The following is a 17,543-nucleotide window of genomic DNA, read 5'->3' as shown; positions in this document are numbered from 1 at the left end:
GTAGACTGAAGACAAGGACCTTTGATTGTCCTCCCCTCCTCTCGCCATATGACTCCCTAGGCTAGGCCTTCACTCAGTCTGGATGATTCTTCTGAAACCAGATCTGGCTACATCATTCCCAATGGAACACAGATGCAAATGCCACCATCTGACATTGTCCCCAGCCTCTTCAGGGCTCACCCCAGAGATTCCCTTTCAGCAGATACTGGGGGAACCTGTCAATCTGCCTTGGGAAAGTCCCTGGGGACTCCAACTCTCTGCCCACTCTAGGGAGCCCAAGCCTTGGGTCCAGGCGGCATCGGAAGGCCCCTGGTCCAGCCTCTGCCTGCCCACACAGCCTCGCCACTCAACCCTTCAGCCTAGAATGTCAGCATCTTAGCCTACTTAGGCTGCTGTAAGAGAATGTCACAGACTGACTGGCTCAGACCACAGACACTTGTTTTTCATTTCTCACAGCTCGAGAGGCTGCAAGCTCGCGACCAAGGCATCAGCGGTGTTGGTTCCTGCAGAAGCCTCTCCCCGGCTTGTAGATAGCTACCTTCCAGCTGAGTCCTCACATCGCCCTTCCCTGGTGCCTCTGTCTCTCCTTATAAGGACACAAGTCAGACTGGAGTAGGACCCCATGCCAGGACCTCGTTGGCTTTAATCATCCCCTTAAAGCCCCTGTCGTCTTCAAATACCAGTACCACATTGGAGGTTAGGGCCTTAAGAAAGAAATTTGGGGTGGAAACAATTCCATTCCTAACAGGTGGGTAGAGGCCACGAGCATGAGTCTGGACCTGAGATAAGCCTGTTTTTGAAGTCACAGCTTTGCCATTCCCTTGCCGTGTGTCCTTGGCAAACCTCCATCTGTTTCTGAGTCTCATCTGAGAAGTGGGAACAAGGTGTCTTCAAACACAGGAAGGTAAAAGATTTAAAGGCGGCAGTGTATGGAAAGCCCCAGGCACTCAGTGGGCCTTGTGTAAAGGCAGATTGTCACGAGCCACGTCTCCACCCTCACAAATGCCCTAATTACCCACCAGTCTCTCTCCTCTTCCCCTCTCTGTCCAGCACTTGGCATTTCCCCAAAGTGGCACAAGACCTTCAGCAATTCTATGCATGAGGTAGGCAGGCCCTCCTGGCCCTGTATGCAGATGAAAGAGAGCGATTGCCTGGCCCAGGGCCACCTACAGATGTGGATGCTCAAGCAGGGAGAGGCCTCACGTCTCCTGACTCCATGCCCCATGCTGTTTCATTCACTAGGGGGTTTTCAAGTCCCACAGTGACTCAATGTAAGTCTTTAAAAACCAAAGTGTTCCTTGATAGAACCCGTTAAATACAAAAAGAGGGAGAAAGAGAAAAGAGACATTCTCTCTTTCCAGAAAGTCTTGGACAGCAGGTTTTGGTGTGAAAAGTCAGCAGATCAGAGCCATCTACACTGCTGGACACATGGCAAGGAGTGGAGCAGCATTGAATCTCCATCACCAGGAGGCATCTGGATCCTGGGTCATGGGGAACTCTGTGTGATGACATTGCTGCATTTGTTCACCAGGAAAGTAAAAGAAACATCCTTGATGCTGGAAACATCTGGGACCAGCTCTCAGAGCACAGAAATCTGGCCAACCTGTCCATCATTTGGCAGAGCACTGGTCAGAAGCCCAGGCCTCTGGGCTGGTCCTGACTCTGACATGGAGCCTATGATCTCAGGGAAGTTCTGCTCCATGCACAGCCTGACTTCCTGGTCAGCAGAAGCAGCCTGTAGTACATGGTCAGCTGTGCACGTGACCTGTCCACTCGACTAGGCATGAGAGATACCTTGCCTGCTCATGGCAGGGGAGGACTGGGCCATGGCATCAGGAATCCCTGCACTGGGGTCTCTGGGTCACAGAGAAACTGGCAGGCTCAGAGCCCAAACTCACCACTCACAGCCTTGCATCCTATCAAAGATTTGCAAGGAAATGTGGATGGACATGCAAGGACGGCTCTGAGGGGCCATGGGATGTGTTGACTTTTCACACCAATACCTACTGTCCAAGACTTTCTGGAAAGAGAGAATATCTCTTTTCTGTCTCTCCCTCTTTCTGTATTACGGGTTCTATCAAGGAAGCCTTTCATTTTTAAAGACTTAAACTGAGTCACTCTTGGACTTGAAAACCCCCTAGTGGATAGAACAGCACGGGGCGTGGAGTCAGGAGACACAAGGCCTCTGCCTGCCTGAATATCCAAGGCACAAGCCTGGAGGAAAGGGCGGAGAGCAGAGGATAAGCCACAGCCAAATCTGTTGCCCCCACACTGGCTATCCGTACTTGGCTGTTGGGTGCAATCCTGACGGTTCTCCCACAGGATCTGTTGGAGAGGGCATCCCAGCACACCCCTCGGCAGCCCTTGCTGGGTAAGACCAGCACTGATGAGCACTCCAGACGCCTCGTGCAGTACTCCACACGAGTACTCCACACATGCCACCGGAGGAAGAGCTATCAGCAGCCCCCACTAATTTTCTAGGAGGAAAATGAGGCCCTAGAGTCCCAGTGACATGCCCCAGGTCCCTTGCTAGGACAAGCAGAGCAGATGTTCAGGCCACTGTTCATGTCAATATGAAATAACATATAGAGAGGTGAATCTCCAAGCAGACAGTTTATTTGGGAATAATGTACAAGAATTGCCACTCGGGACTCAAATTTGGGTGGCCCCTAGGTGTGTTCGAAGAACAAAGTGAAAGCCTGGGGTTTCCTTGCAGAAGAGAGGAAGGTTCTGTAAAGCTGTTCTGAAAGTTCTTTCCTCAGTGGGGGTGGTGTCCTGCAGGAGCCAGCGAGTCCTGAGGGAGAATGGCAGCAGTTCCCAGTAAAACTTGAAAGCTTAGGGTCATGGCAGGCCCATGCGGGTTTTGGACTGGCCTTGCGGGACAGTTCCGGGAGTAGGCGTTTGTGACCTGGGTGTTTTTCCCTAAGGCCCCCAACTCTGTTTTAGTTAGATGTGATAAAAATGTCTCCATTTTGTATAATCAATTTTCACATCCCAAAGGCAGTGCAGGGGCTGAAATGTGGGACTAAAGGACAAAGAAACATCCTGCCCTGAGGCCCTATTGTCCTAGTTCCCAGTACTGGAGCCACATTCCAGGGTCCCTGCTGTGAGCTGCCAGGCTGGCTCATGAATTATTCATCATCCCATGCTTCACAACCAATCTGTGGATTGTGTTTGTTATTTACTGAATTGTGTGTAGAGCTTAGCGATAGGGTGCTTTGAATTGGCCCAAACCCACCAGGGCAAGGCTGCTTTGCTCAGCCCACACCAGGGCCCTGGCTTCACTTCCCGTAACACGGTCATTCATCTGTGTTTGCTCAAAACCTGGAAATGCCCATCTCAGCTGTGGGTTTTAAAGGCATGAAAACCAAAATTCTATTCTAACTTTGTGGGAAATGAAGCTGCATTTGTTTTCTATGACAAATGTAACAAATCACCATGAATTCAGTGGCTTTAACCGGCCCACATATATTATCTCACAGTGCAGGAGGTGAGAAGTCCAAAACAGCCCTCACTGGGCTAAAAGGAAGGCATCAGCAAGATCGCATTTCTTTCTGGAGGCTCTGGGGGAGAATCTGTTTCCTGCCCTTCTGGCTTCCAGAGGCCACCCACGTTTCTCAGACCAGGGGCCCTTCCTCTTTCAAGACGGCAATGGCTGGCGGAGCCGCTCTCGCATTGCAGCACCCAGCTCTCACCTCTTGCCTCTCTCTCCACTTGCAAGGATGCTTGTGATTACACGGGGCCCCCCGAGATAATCTAGGGTAAGCTCCTTGCCTTGAGGTCAGCTGATGAGCAGGCTTCATTCCATCTGCAACCTTCACTTTCCCTTGCCAGGCAACCTAGCACATTCTCAGAGACTAGGATGTGGATATCTTTGGGGCCATTATTTAGCCTGGCATAGAAATGGAAAAGAAAGCCTGGTCTGGGAAGACTTCCACGGGCTGTTTCCATCATCCTGCAAAACCCAAAACCCCCTCCCCAGTATTCCCAGTGAATGCTCATCCAGCCACAGCTTGAACACATGTGGGTGGCATCCTCACTACCAGAGGCCACCTCTCCAGCCCTTTGGGTGCTCCTGAGCCACTAGATCCAAGCTCTGCGCTTCGGAAGGATACCAGGTACATCTGCAAAGTGCACCTGATCCCTTATCCCAACGTCAGCACTTGGTGTGTTTGAAGAGACGCTATGCCCCCTACGTCCTCTCTGCAGCTGTGGAGGCCAGCAAGTCCACCCCAACAACCTTCCACCATTCCAGGCATCACTCACCAGCACAACTCCCACTGGCAATGTCTCTTCTTAACCATGGCAACCAGACTATTACAGATGTTACTGAGCTCCTATATGTGCCTAAACGGAGCCCAAGTGTCAAGTAATATCTATGTGAGCCTATGAGGTTTCATGGTCATCCCTTCTGCAGATAGGGAGACTGGGACTCATACAAAGTCACTCACCCACGATCACACAGCCAAGTGACTCAGGAGAGGCTGCATCTAGATCACAGCCTGTGTCTGTCCTCCTGCCTTGGTGCTCCCATCTCTAGTCTAGCCCATGCTTTCTGCTGAGAAGAACACTGAACCAGAGGCAGAGATATAGGGTTTTTTTTGTTTTGTTGTGTTTGTTTGTTTGTTTTTTTGAGATGGAGTCTCACTGTGTCACCCAGGCTGGAGTGCAGTGGCACGATCTCAGCTCACTGCAACCTCCGCCTCCTGGTTCAAGTGATTCTTCTGCCTCAGCCTCTTGAGTAGCTGGGACTACAGGTGCACGCCACCACACCTGGGTAATTTTTGTATTTTTAGTAGAGACGGGGTTTCACCATGTTGGCCAGGCTGGTCTCAATCTCCTGACCTTGTGATCCACCCCTCTCGGCCTCCCAAAGTGCTGGGATTACAGGCATGAGCCACCGCACCTGGCCGGCATGTAGGTTTTATTCCCAGTTAACCCATTTGTAATTGTGTGACTTGAACTTCACATTTCCCTGTTGTGAATGGGACTGCCAGCAACTCCTCAAGGCTATGCGAGGATCAGACAGACCAGCCACGAGAGAGCCTGGGAGCCTGGGAAGAGGACAGGGCCTCCTGGCTTCTGTCGTGTCACATCCTGTGCTCCGTTTACACACATTCCCTGGCAGCACCCTCTTGCTCCTGGCCTCTCCCAAGCTGGCTGTCCCTGAAAACTCTCAAGCTGTCAGAGTGTGCACCTGGAGGCCCAGAGGAACACTCAATTGCAGTGGGGAGGTGTCAGGGTCTGGAGATCCTGTCCAACCAAGTGTCAACACTCCTGGCCCTTTAATGTCCTATTTCCATACAGCAGAGCTGACGTGTGCCCAGCACTGTAGAGGCACTGGCACCCCTGGAGGCCAATCTTTCCTCCAAGAAGGGAGACAGGCATGTGGACAACCTGTTTCAACAGAGTGCTGATGCAGGGGGTCCCGACATGAGGAGAGGCCCAGTGCCACCCAGAGGAGAGTGGTGGAGTAGAGGCTGAGAGGATCGAGGGAGTTGGCCTCACCAAGGAGAGCAGCAGCAGGCCTGCATCCCAGCCAGGAGGAATGGCCTGGACATGAGCTCCGTTCAGGGTGTCTCTGAGACCCAGAGAACAGGCAAAGGAAAAGGTGGAATGTGAGTCTCAGGAAAGAGATCCGCCTTGGATGAGGAGGCTCTTCTGGGCTAGTATTTATTCCCCCAAGTGTGGATTTGCATGCAAATCTCAGGAAATACAGAACACCACAAAACCTTTGTCTCTGTAATAAACCCACTTTAAATCTGTCTCAAAACAGGATTTTCTTTTGTCCCAAACCAAGTAAAATAACTTGACTCAGATCTTAGTCCACATTCCAATCTCCTCCTTCTCTGTAGAAGCTTTAGAAAGCTCTCCACGTGGCCGGGCACGGGGTGGCTCACGCCTGTAATCCCAGCACTTTGGGAAGCCAAGGTGGGTGAATCATGAGGTCAGGAGATCGAGACTATCCTGGCCAACATGGTGAAACCCCGTCTCTACTAAAAATACAAAAATTTGCTGGGCGTGGTGGCATGTGCCTGTAGTCCCAGCTACTTGGGAGGCTGAGGCAGGAGAATCACTTGAACCTGGCAGGAGGAGGTTGCTCGCACCACTGCACTCCAACCTGGTGACAGAGCGAGACTTCATCAAGAAAGAAAGAAAGAAAGGGAGGGAGGGAGGGAGGGAAAAAGGAAGGAAGGAAGAAAGGAAGGAAGGAAGGAAGAAAGGAAGGAAGAAAGGAAGGAAGGAAGGAAGGAAGGAAGGAAGGAAGGAAGGAAGGAAGGGAGGGAGGGAGGAAGGAAGGAAGGAAAGAAGGACTCCACTTTCAGGCCTGAGCCCGGGATTGGCCACTGCTGCCCTTGCTGTTGTTTTGCTTCTCCCCTGGCACTTTCTGCTCTGAATCACTAGGACCCAAAGTGAGAGGCGGGGCTGTGGCCAATCCAGGGTAGGGAGGGGCTAGGCAGGGAGGGGGAATGCCACGGGGCTGGCATGTCCTTCTCAACTCACCATGGCAGGCAGGGCCTCATCAAAGCCTTTCAAGTGAGAATATTGAAAGACTTTTTAAAGTGCTAACACATACTAACACCAGAAGAGTGTTCTAATCACCACTCCCGCCCCCACTCCAAGAAACAAGAACTGGATTCCTGTCCACCACTGCAAAGAACCCCAGAGAGACTGTCTTTGGAGGCCGAGGAGGTGAAGAGGCAACCGCCGTGGAGGGACGATTCACCCAGATGTCTACAAACTACCAACACACAATTGGAAATCAAAATATATATTTTCTAAAATACGGTTTTCATAGCATTAAAAGAAACCAAACACTTAGGAATAGATCTCACAAAATATATGCCTAATTTGTATACTAAAAGTTCTCAAGCATTGATGACAGAAATGTTAAAAGGTCTAAATGTGTGGAGAAGTATTGAACGCATGGGTTAGAAGGCTCGACATTGTTAAGATGGCAGTTCTTCCCACACTGATCTATAAATTCAAGGCAAACCCATTAAGAATTTCTATAGACTTTTGAGAAGTAAATTAACAGGTGGGTTCTAAAACTTAAATTGAAAAGCAAAAAATGTCAGAATAGCCAAAACAATTTGGAAGAAAAAAAGAAGAAATTTGGAGGAATCTCACACCAGACGTAAATACTAAATAAAAAGCTACAGTATTCATAATAGTGTGGTATTAGAATAAGGACAGGCATAGAGATTGATAGAATATAATTGAATTGAGAGTTCAGGGATAAAGTCACACATATATGATCAATTAATTTTCAACAGCATGCCAAGCAATTCAACAGGGAAAGTTCACTCTTTCCAACAAAGAGTCAGAAACATCAGGACATCCTTATTTTAAAATGCACCACAACCCTTCCCTTGTACCTTATCCCGAAAACAAAAAACCAAAAAAACTAACTGAAATACAGTATAAGCCTAAATGTAAAACCAAAGCCTAAACCTCTTAAGAGATAGGAGAAAAACATGTGTGCTTGGATTCGGCAAACATGTTTCAATAGGACAAAAAAAGGCACAAAACTACAAATGAAAAAAATTGATAAACTGGACTTCGTCAAAATCAAAACTTCTGTTTTTTGTAAAACACTGTTTTAAGAAATGGAAAGTCAAGCCACAGACTTGGAAAAACACATTTTCTTTTTTTGAGACAGGATCTCACTCTGTCACCCACACTGGAGTGCAGTGGCACGATCTCGGCTCACTGCAACCTTCGCCTCCAGAGTTCAAGCCATTCTCCTGCCTCAGCCTCCCAAGTAGCTGGGATTACCGGCGCCTGCCACCATGCCCAGCTATTTTTTGTATTTTTAGTAGAAACGGGCTTTCACCATCTTGGCCAGGCTGGTCTCGAACTCCTGACCTCAGGTGATCCACCCATCTCGGCCTCCCAAAAGTTCTGGGATTACAGGGGTGAGCCACTGTGCCCAGCTGGAAAAAAAAAACATTTTAAAAACATGTATCTGATAAAGGACCTTCCTGAAATATTGAAAGAACATTTATAACTTTATAATAAGAAGACAAACAATTCAATATGGAATATAGACAAAAGATTTTGGACACTTCACCAAAAACTATATGTGAGTGGCAAGTGCATACAAATGCACAGTACTATTAGTCATTAAGGAAAGAAAATTAAAATTATAATGAAGTATTGCTAAAATTACACACCCCCAGAATTGCTAAAATTACAGTGACCACACCAAATACTGGCAAGAATGTGGAGCAACTGAAACTCTCATCCATTGCTGGTGGGAGTGCAAAATGGTACAGCCACTTTAGAAAAGAGTTTAGCAGCTACTTATAAAGTATAACACACACTTATCATGCATCCCAGCAATGCCTCTCCTGTGGATTTACTCAAAAGAAAGAAAAACATATGTTCGCATGCATATCAGCTTACTCATAATAGCCAAAAAGTGAGAACAACTAAATGTCCATCAGACAATAAAACCAAAAATATGTGTGGTATAGGCAAACAATGGAATTCTACTGAGCAGTATAAAGGAATGAACTAGGAACACATGCAGTGACGTGGATGAATCTCATAGACGTTATTGTAAATGAAATGAATCAAACACAAAATAATATATAAGTTTACACTTATATTGCACTCTGAAAAAGGCCAAATTCAGGGAAAAAAATCAGATCACTGATTGCCAGGGGTAGGCTGGAAACAGAGCACTGACTGCAAAAGGATGAGGAGGAAACTTTTGGGTGATGTAAGTGTTCTAGATCTTGTGTGAGGTCGTGTTTACCGGGCTGCTGATATTTGTCAAAACTCAGTGAAGTGAGCACTCTGCAGGGATACATTTTACTGTTTGCAAATTGTACATCAATAACTGACTTCTAAAAATAAGCAAGTTGAAGCAGGAGACACTTGGTATGTTACCATTTGTATAAAAGAATAATAAAAATAGCTACAAATTTAATGAGCCGAACATCCAACCAAAGAGGTTAGAAAAATAGCAAAAATATACTCTAAGAGGAAGAAAGGAAATAAGAGCAACAAGTGCAGAAATTAATGTAATAGAAATTAAATATAAAACAGAACACACAATTTTTTAAAAGCCAAAAGTTGTTTCTTAGAAAGAACAAATAAAATAGCCAAATTTCTTGCAAGCATAATCAAGCATTTAAAAAGAGGAGGATTGATAATGGGGCAGAACTACAGATACAGCAGAAATTTTCAAAACAGTAAAGCAAATGAACAATGTACAAATTCCCAGAAAAATAAAACTAATTAAATAGACACCAAAAGAGAGACCCTGCATCACTAAAAAAATGAAAACAGCAGTTTAAGATCTTTTCCTAGAGAAAACCAGCAGTCCCAGATGGCCTGAAAGAGTCCCTAACACAAAACTGCCAGTTTCATCCAAATTGATCTAAGGATTCAACATCATTTCAATCCCAACAATGATGTCTGTGGGACTCCACAGGGTTATTCTTAAGTGGAAATGCAGATGCCCATAGGGAGCCAGAACAACGCCGGGGGTGGGGGGCGCCGCGAGCTGACCTTCCAGAGACCAGATGTCCAAGTCTGAATAATTAAGATAAATGCTATTAGTGCAGGGGGAGGCGACTCACCAATGGACAGGAACTAGAGGGCCAAGAGCCCCCAAGCAGGTAACGAAGTTATTTCAGCGCCCAGAGCCTTCGGGTGCAGCAGGGAGGCCATCACCTCTGGATTGGAGGTGATTGCAATCCCAGCAGGTTTGGGGGAGTGGAGGGGCAGGATTCCTGATAGAACAGGCTCAAGAAGGAATGAGAGAGGGAAGCTGGAGACAGCAACAAGGTCCAGAGCTGCTCCGAAGTGTTGCTGCAAAGGGGAGCAAAGACATGGGTGAGAGAGCAGGCCTGGGAAGGGCACCCAAGAGGGTGGCTTCATCTGTTTGCTTGCGTGCTGGTTGGTTTGCTTTAAAGGAGAGCAGGAGAACGTGATGGTGCAGAAAGAGGGGAGAAATGCTGGAGAAGGTCCTAGCGCTGGTGGGAGATGATGGGGACAGACATGGAAAGGAGCAGAGAAGGCACAGCCCTCCGGGCGCAGGTGCGGGAGGAGCAGGAGTGCAGGCAGATGGCATTGTAGGAAGGTGGAAGGTGCGACACAGGCTGCTCTGGGTGCTCCTCTGATAGGGAGAGTGGTTTGAGGAGCAGAGAGATAGCGAGGAAGTAGCCTGGAACGTGGGCACCCATGCAGGGAAACAGGCACACAGGCTGGGCTATCCTGGGGGCTGCCAGTGCAGCTGTAGGCTTTCTTGGCCCTATTCTTGCAGGGGTGCAGAGCCCAGCCTGTTGAGAGGTGCATATCCTGGGTGGGAGTTTGCCAAGAGACAGGATCAGAGAGCTGGGGGTGCACAAGGAGTGGAGGTGACTGTGAAGCAGCGAAGGGACGGGCTGGCCTGGCTGTGGCTCTGGAGCTGGTAGCAAGTTCAGGAGTATTTCATGATTATGATGCGGAGTCTACACAAACACGGTGAATACCCTTTGGTGGGTGTGAGACCTTACAGAATGCTAAATTTCTAAGAAATGAGTTTGGGTTTTAGTGAAGTGGGGGAGCAGGGGCGCCACATCCATGGGAAGTCCATGTGTGGAGAGGCAGAACCGTGAGAGGCAGCAGGGGCCACCAAGCTCGGTCCCCACAGCCTCACAAGCCTTGCTTACCACTCTGGTTTTGTTCCTGGGAACAATGAGACCACAGATCATTTTACACACGAGAATGAGGTGCTCAGGCTTGTGGTGAGATGCACAGAGAGGCCTGCCCCACTCTCCTTCCTGAGGAGCCCACCTGCAGTGATGCTGCTGGGTGGGGCCAGGCCCGGTGGACAGCATCTGGGTGTTCAGGAGCAGAGCTTTCCTTCTGCCTCCCCAGGAGTAGACCAATCACCAGCCAGCTCCCAAGACAGGTGAAACGTGAGGCAGACGGGCATGGCCAGTGGATAATGAGGGCATTGGATGGCCCAGAAGTGTCTCCCAATAGAGGTGCAAGGCACCGTCCCCTGCACACAGTGAGCATGCAGTATGTGTGTGGGGCTGCCTCTGCTGGGGGTAGAGAGGAAGGCATGGAGGGAGAGGTCTGTGCCCTCCGTAGGGGCAGGTCTAGGTTTCCTTACTCCCTATATTTCTGACACTTACCACGGGCCTTGGAACATAGCAGATACTGGATGATGAGAAGGCCTTCTCCCCTCCTTCATGCCTGCCCTGTGCCAGCTGTGCGTGATGATTAATGCATTCCACTAAAGTTTATCTGAGCAGCAGTCCTTATGATGACCCTGTAAGATAGATCCCCCATTTTCCAGGTGATAAAAATGCTTCAAGAGGCTCAATGACTTGCCTAAGTGTCTCAAGTGCTGAACAGAGGAACTGAAGGTCTCATTTGAGTCCAAAGCTCTTTCCATTATATTACACCATGTTAGGGTTCTCCAGAGAAAAGAACCAATAGGATAGATGACAGATGATGGATAGTAAATGGATAGATAGATGGATAGATAGGAACTTACGAGGAATTGGCTTGCACAATTATGGAGGCAGGCCAAGTCCAAAATGTGCAAAGCTGATGTCTCAGTTTGAATCTGAAGATTGGAAGCTGCTGTGAAACAGAAAGAGCCTTTATCAGTCATGCACGATAGCTCACGCCCGTAATCCCAGCACTCTAGGAGACTGAGGCGGGCGTATCACCTGAGGTCAGGAGTTCAAGACCAGCCTGTCCAACATGGTAAAAGCCCATCTCTACTAAAATACAAAAATTAGCCAGGTGTGATGGCGGATACCTGTAATTCCAACTACTTGGGAGGCTGAGACTGGAGAATGGCATGAACCCAGGAGACGGTGGTTGCAGTGAGCTGAGATTGCGCCACTGCACTCCAGCCAGGGCAGCTGAAATAAAATAAAATAAAATAAAATAAAATAAAATAAAATAAAAGGTTATCAGGCAGGAAAAAAGCTAACATCCATGTTTGAAAGGCAGCAGGCAAGATAATTCCCTCTTTCTCTGGAGACAGTCAGCCTTCTGTTCTGTTCAGGCCTTCACCTGATTGGGGAGGCCATTACATTGTGGAGAACAGTCTGCTTCACCCAGTCTACCTATTTAAACGCTCATCTCATCCAAAACAGCTTCATGGAAGCACGCAGAATAACGTTTCACCAAATATCTGAGCACCCCATGGCCCAGTCAAGTTAACACACAAAACAAACCATCACACATAGCCTCTCATAAGCATTTTTAAATTAACACCAGAAGCATTGCTCATGTGGAAAACTTTCTATAATTTGCAAGAGCTGCATTATTTCTCAAATAATAGTCACATTTTTGGAAGTCTTACACTTATTTCCATTAAAATTTTACCTATTCAAGTTCCTAACCGTTTGAAATCAAAGGCTAGCTCAACTAACCCTGGGCACTGACCTCTCATTGCTCCATCCAGGAAGACAGTTTCTCCTCAGGAGAGAAATAAGAAGATACTGTTTCTAAGCAGCATCAGCCCTTTGGCAGCATCAACGAAGAACTTGCTAATTACATACTCTTTATGGTGTCTTTTTCAGATCTAGGTGGTAGGACTGTGGTTAATTGCTAGCTTTACCTGCCCTGCCAGTGGCCCCCTGGAGACAGGGACAGGCCCTGCTCATCTCCATGGGCTCCTGCCTGCTTGGTGTTCAGAGATGGCACTTGTGCTGAACATGCCGGAAAACACTCATCCCAGCTCCCCAGTAAATGAGCTCAGCTCTTCTTCTAGGTCATCCTGTAAGCTGTTCTGGGGTCCCTATGGTCACCTACAAATGCTACAAAAAACCCAGCATGAATCACGAATCCTGGAAGAAAGGGAGCTGTTTCTGTTCATGGCGGTTGTAAAGACCCCGTAGGGAGGTGGAACACATCAGGAGGCTGAGCAAGGTCTGAATCAGTTCAGATCGTGGCCACTGAGTTGTGAAGAAGGAAGGCAAAGGGGGTGGAAGGAGCCCCAGAAGGTGCTGGCAGCGTGTGGGAGGGAGGAGGGCAGAGCTGGTGGCAAGCAGAAGGCCTGTTATTAGGATAATTAGTATTATTTATTAAACATCTAGGAAGTGCCAGCCACGTGCTAGCTATTGTCACAATCCAAATCAAAGAATTAGACCCAATGCCTCTGGAAAATCTTCCTATCAAACTGGGCAGGATGAAAAAAAAGCAGGCAAAGAAACTGTGCTAAGGAAGTGTTTTAGATGAAGAAAAGAGACGCCTCTAGAAAGAATCCAGCCAAGGCTGGGTGCGGTGGCTCACGCCTGTAATCCCAGCACTTTGTGAGGCTGAGGTAGGCAGATCACCTGAGGTCAGGAGTTCAAGACCAGCCTGGCCAACATGGTGAAACCCCTTCTCTACTAAAAATACAAAAATTAGCCAGGTGTGGTGGCAGGTGCCTGTAATCCCAGCTACTCAGTAGGCTGCGGCAGGAAAATTGCTTGAATCCGGGAGGTGGAGGCTGCAGTGAACTGAGATTGCGCCATTGCACTCTAGCTTGGGCAACAAGAGGAAAACTCCGAAGAAAGGGAGGGAGGAAGGGAGGGAGGAAGGGAGGGAGGAAGGGAGGGAGGGAGGGAAAAGATCCAGCCTCATAGCACCAGGCAGCCCCGCTCCTCTTCCCAAGCACCCAGCGATGGTGACAGCAGGTTGGGCCACGTGGGGGCTGCTTTCTCCTCGGCTTTGGCCAAGGCTGCCACCTGCCATGGTCATGCAAACCAGTCCTGCTTTGTGATTCTGGCCATCAGACAACTCGCACCTGACACTTCTGCTCCAGGGCTGGCAGTGTCCAGCAAGCAGCAAGGCTTCCCAGGATATCCAGGGTTCAGCACGCCATTCCTACTTGCCAGACACCCGGGGTTTGGAAACAAAGATGAGGAGACCAACCTGCCCCCAAGAACCTCACAGCCTGTGGAGGAGCTTTCAGTCTGCCCTTGGGAGAGGTTATGGTTGATCCGTAAGCAAACTGACACAGGAGTCAAGGGGACGCGTGTCCTCACTGAGTGGGAGTGCAAGGGACGAGCTATGATTCTAGCCATTGTCTCAACGGCCATGTCCTCTTCAAACATTTAAGGACTGACAATGCTCAGTGAGGTCTAATGGGCAGCTCTGCCTAATCCTCCCACACCCAAAAGAGCAGGCTGTTTGATTTCTAACTCGTTAACACAAATAATGCTTGAAGATCTGTGGCTCTGATGTGACGTTAGCTCGTTTTCCAAGTTTAGCTGTAAATCACAGGCTGAGTTAAGGTGTATGAGGTCTCAAGCAAATTCACATGGCCTCTATTAAATTGTATGAGGTTAAGAAATATATTGGATTCTGGGGACATATATGCTGCTAACCAAAATTACACACCAGCCATTTGTCATATTCGCGTGGGTGTCACTAAATCAAGACTCTAAAGGTGAAGGCACGGGTTGGAATTATACCATCACTGTCTCTGCTACAGCACAATCAGTCTGGGGTAAGGAGGGGGCTCTTGATGAGTGTGGACTGCGAGAGGATGGTCTCCCTTCTCACTCATCTATGCAGGTGTCTGTGGCACTCAGGTACCTGTCGCACGGGAGCTGACAGCAAACAGTTCCCTTTATGGTAAATCACGGTGTCAAATGGACCAGGCAGATGTTGGGATACCCCATTAGAGTTACAAACGTATTCCCTGGAAAAGCAGAAGGTGAGCTGGTTCCCAGAGGAAAGGGGAGCTGCTCAGTAGGCCGAAGAGCAGAAGGGAGGCATGCCCCGCCCAGACTTGACTTCCCACTCTCAGAGCTACGTTTGCTTTCTCGGCTTTGCAGCCCGCTTCCCAACACACACAGATCTCCCCACACCCACACAGCCGTCACACCCACCATATGTTCAGAATGTCAGAGCTGGGAGGCAGCCCCGCCCAACCCCCTGATTTTTCAGATCCATCCGCTGGGGCATTACGATAGGGGTGTGGTCATCAGCCTCTCTCGCATGGAAAATGTCACACGATGTGTGATGTATCCCCTCCCTGCATCCCTGTTTATCCACGAAGTCAGCCAGAGGGGCTGGTTGGGTCAGCTTCAGAAGAAGAGACCAGTGATTCTTGGGAAGAAATGATTTTTACCCGGGGAGTACAGGAACTGCCCATGACCCCCTCCTCCTCCTCCTCTCCCTCCCTCCCGTGGGGAGCTCGGAGAGATGCGTCAGGACCAGGCCCCTTGAGTCAGGCCTGTGACACAGCCCACAGAGAGGGCTCAGGAGCCAAGTTACAAGGCTCTCTATGGGTGCCCGCTGTGTGCACAGCTAGGAAACAAACACGTGCACACAGGCTCTCTCCCAGGAGTGTCTCTCAGAACCTGGAGGGAAAATGCAGCCACCGATGTGGCACTGGGATCTTCTATTGCCTGAAATTTTCTTTAACGCACTTGAGAAGAGACAGCACAATTTAGGTGTGTGCCAGAAGCCCCCCTCACTCAAACTCTTGGAGTGGACGGCGCACTGGAAATACCCTAACCAGGAGCCTGTGCCTCAGGGACAGCCGCTGCAAGCTCTCCACACACTACTAAGCCTGCTCCAGAGGGCCCCTGGTTAGCAGAGTGGATGTCCGAAGGAGGTTTTCACTGGAGAGATGAAAGAGTGGAAGATATGGGATTGGCTGCCACACATGCCCAGGTGCCACCACCTCTTCACATGAAGGACATGAAGGGCCAGTGTGCAAGGGGGAGATGTGGGGGTTCCCACTAGGCAAAGGGAACGGACAAGCAGTAGGAGGCCAGCTTCCTGGAACAGTGACAGGGGCAGGGAGGCTCTCAAAGATGTAAGCAGCAGCAGGGCTTTGCTGCTAGAGTGAAGACCAGACCTAACAGGGCAGCTGTCTGTCAGGGGAGGAAGGCAGCATCCTGATCCACCATCCCCACCATCGACACCTCTGCCAGAAGGAGGCCTTAACGTAGTCCCCAGCTGATTCACGTGGTGCTCTGGGAGGCCCCTCTGCTCAGGGAGACCAGCCTGCAGGGGCTTAGCTCGGAGGGTCACTGCTGACCTCTTGGGGAGGGGAAACAGAGCAGAGTGCTGCAGGAAAGAACAGGATTGGAGAGTGAGACTGGCCAGGGGCGTGTGCTTCCTCTGGTGCTTCTAGCTGCTTTGGGAGAGGCACAGAGCAGGTGGAGAGTTGGATTTCATCAGGGCTGTGGATTTTCCGAGCAGTAGAAGGGAATCATTGATGCAATGTGTGACAGTAGGGAGGGCACTGTGAGCAGAGGGTTGGATGGTGCATCTCCCAATGGTGGCCGTGACACTGTCCCCCACCCCCACTTGCTCCTCAACAGTGTCTCCTAGACACCCCTCCATGGAGAGCTGGGGACGATGGCCCTTCTCTTGTATTTTGGAAGGAGTGGGGCTGAGACTCATCTGCAATTGACAGAATGTAGCAGACATGACTTCGGAGCCTCGCTCATTTAGGGGATGGGCTCTGCCTGTTCAGCTGGACACTGGCCGTGGAGACCCCAAGTGCAGCCATGTGAAATACCAGTCATGGGAAGTCTGGGTCTTTTCCAGCTTCTCCTGGTGGCCTCCAGATGGTTCCGGTCCCAGCCCCAGAAGGTGGCATGGCCCTCACCCTTGGCAGGGGCCCAGGGCACTGCTGGTGTCCTCCTGGCATGGATGCTGGGTCCCTTGCTGGCGCCTCCCAACATGGACGCCTTTGAGAACCAAATTGCTGGGGCAGAAGACAGTCATGTGAACAGATCGTGATAAGTGCTTTGCTATCGTCGTCCTAAAATGCTCCCTTTAGAGGCATCTTCACATTTGCCTGGGTGCTTAGGTGTCAGATATCTTGGAAGGACAGGTCTGCAAGGGTGGCTGGTGCCTGACTTGGGTCCAGGTCAGACCCAGGCTGGTGGCCTGCTGCAGAGGCAGTGAAGCACCACTTTTGTCTACCTGCTCCCTCCCTGCCCTTCCTTCTACACAAGTAAGTTCCAGAGCAGCCCCAAACAAACACACACGCCGGGCACACGACGACCTGGCTTTGCCCATTCTGGGCTCCATAACCTGGACTCAAGTCATCAGGCCCAAGTGCCAGCCAATGATAGTTCCAGGGCAGGGCTGTTTGTGATGACAAGACCAAGATCCCCCAAGCGACAGAGCCCCACCTGAAGTTCATTCCTTGTTCTCCTGTACAAAGAAATCAGAGGACGCACCTTGGACCCATGCTGGGCTCCAGCTCTTTGTCACCAAAGAGCAGAGGGACAAAAAGCAGGTCTTGTCTGAAATGCGTTGATCTTCTCTGCCTTGTCTCAGCCAGCCCCAGGATATCCACCTCTGCCATCAGGATCCTGGCTACCAAGGGAATGAAGAGGTGACTTTTGAAAGTCACCAGTACCTTCTTCCTTCAGCAGAGAGACTGGAATGAACCTCCAGAGACCGGGAGCTGCCCCTCTGTACAGGGCAAAACCCCTAGGCAGCTCTTTCGGTTATGCGGGGATGCAGCTGAGACTGTGAACGTCCACCCACTGCCCCGGGAGGCTTAATGCAGAGACTGTTCCGACTGCATGTGGATGTGTGGATGGTATATGTGCATGCGT

At 49.6% G+C, this 17,543-nt stretch overlaps 1 long non-coding RNA gene across 2 annotated transcripts in view, besides 7 other annotated features; it reads right to left on the bottom strand.

Annotated features, from left to right (window-relative positions):
- Positions 1-17,543, bottom strand: part of LOC105373611 (uncharacterized) — a 241,632-nt gene that overhangs the window by 2,098 nt on the left and 221,991 nt on the right. The window contains exons 1-3 of one of the 2 annotated variants that reach the window (XR_001739708.2): positions 11,774-11,879; positions 11,504-11,592; positions 11,139-11,275 (exon numbers count right to left, since the gene is read on the bottom strand). The exons of the other annotated variant lie outside the window; for it this stretch is intronic. This is a non-coding gene — a long non-coding RNA (uncharacterized LOC105373611). Of the gene's footprint in view, positions 1-11,138; positions 11,276-11,503; positions 11,593-11,773; positions 11,880-17,543 lie in introns of those variants that run through there. 2 annotated transcript variants of the gene reach the window in all.
- Positions 145-804: an enhancer, noted in NCBI's record as "H3K27ac-H3K4me1 hESC enhancer chr2:129398907-129399566 (GRCh37/hg19 assembly coordinates)". NCBI's record gives its function as "activates a minimal SCP1, AML or CMV promoter by ChIP-STARR-seq in primed H9 embryonic stem cells {active_cell/tissue: H9 hESC(primed)}" and the evidence as "EXISTENCE:reporter gene assay evidence [ECO:0000049][PMID:30033119]".
- Positions 2,928-3,477: an enhancer, noted in NCBI's record as "OCT4-NANOG-H3K27ac-H3K4me1 hESC enhancer chr2:129396234-129396783 (GRCh37/hg19 assembly coordinates)". NCBI's record gives its function as "activates a minimal SCP1, AML or CMV promoter by ChIP-STARR-seq in naive and primed H9 embryonic stem cells {active_cell/tissue: H9 hESC(naive and primed)}" and the evidence as "EXISTENCE:reporter gene assay evidence [ECO:0000049][PMID:30033119]".
- Positions 3,468-3,762: a silencer, noted in NCBI's record as "tiled region #8659; K562 Repressive non-DNase unmatched - State 22:ReprW". NCBI's record gives its function as "represses a minimal TATA promoter and a strong SV40 promoter by Sharpr-MPRA in K562 cells {active_cell/tissue: K562}" and the evidence as "EXISTENCE:reporter gene assay evidence [ECO:0000049][PMID:27701403]".
- Positions 3,468-4,026: a biological region, named in NCBI's record as "NANOG-H3K27ac-H3K4me1 hESC enhancer GRCh37_chr2:129395685-129396233".
- Positions 3,478-4,026: an enhancer, noted in NCBI's record as "NANOG-H3K27ac-H3K4me1 hESC enhancer chr2:129395685-129396233 (GRCh37/hg19 assembly coordinates)". NCBI's record gives its function as "activates a minimal SCP1, AML or CMV promoter by ChIP-STARR-seq in primed H9 embryonic stem cells {active_cell/tissue: H9 hESC(primed)}" and the evidence as "EXISTENCE:reporter gene assay evidence [ECO:0000049][PMID:30033119]".
- Positions 4,577-5,125: an enhancer, noted in NCBI's record as "H3K27ac-H3K4me1 hESC enhancer chr2:129394586-129395134 (GRCh37/hg19 assembly coordinates)". NCBI's record gives its function as "activates a minimal SCP1, AML or CMV promoter by ChIP-STARR-seq in primed H9 embryonic stem cells {active_cell/tissue: H9 hESC(primed)}" and the evidence as "EXISTENCE:reporter gene assay evidence [ECO:0000049][PMID:30033119]".
- Positions 5,126-5,675: an enhancer, noted in NCBI's record as "H3K27ac-H3K4me1 hESC enhancer chr2:129394036-129394585 (GRCh37/hg19 assembly coordinates)". NCBI's record gives its function as "activates a minimal SCP1, AML or CMV promoter by ChIP-STARR-seq in primed H9 embryonic stem cells {active_cell/tissue: H9 hESC(primed)}" and the evidence as "EXISTENCE:reporter gene assay evidence [ECO:0000049][PMID:30033119]".

Source organism: Homo sapiens, chromosome 2 (assembly GCF_000001405.40).
Source record: "Homo sapiens chromosome 2, GRCh38.p14 Primary Assembly".
Taxonomy (NCBI): domain Eukaryota; kingdom Metazoa; phylum Chordata; class Mammalia; order Primates; family Hominidae; genus Homo; species Homo sapiens.
The sequence above is the reverse complement of the archived record's forward strand: the minus strand, read 5'-3'. Positions and strand labels throughout refer to the sequence as shown.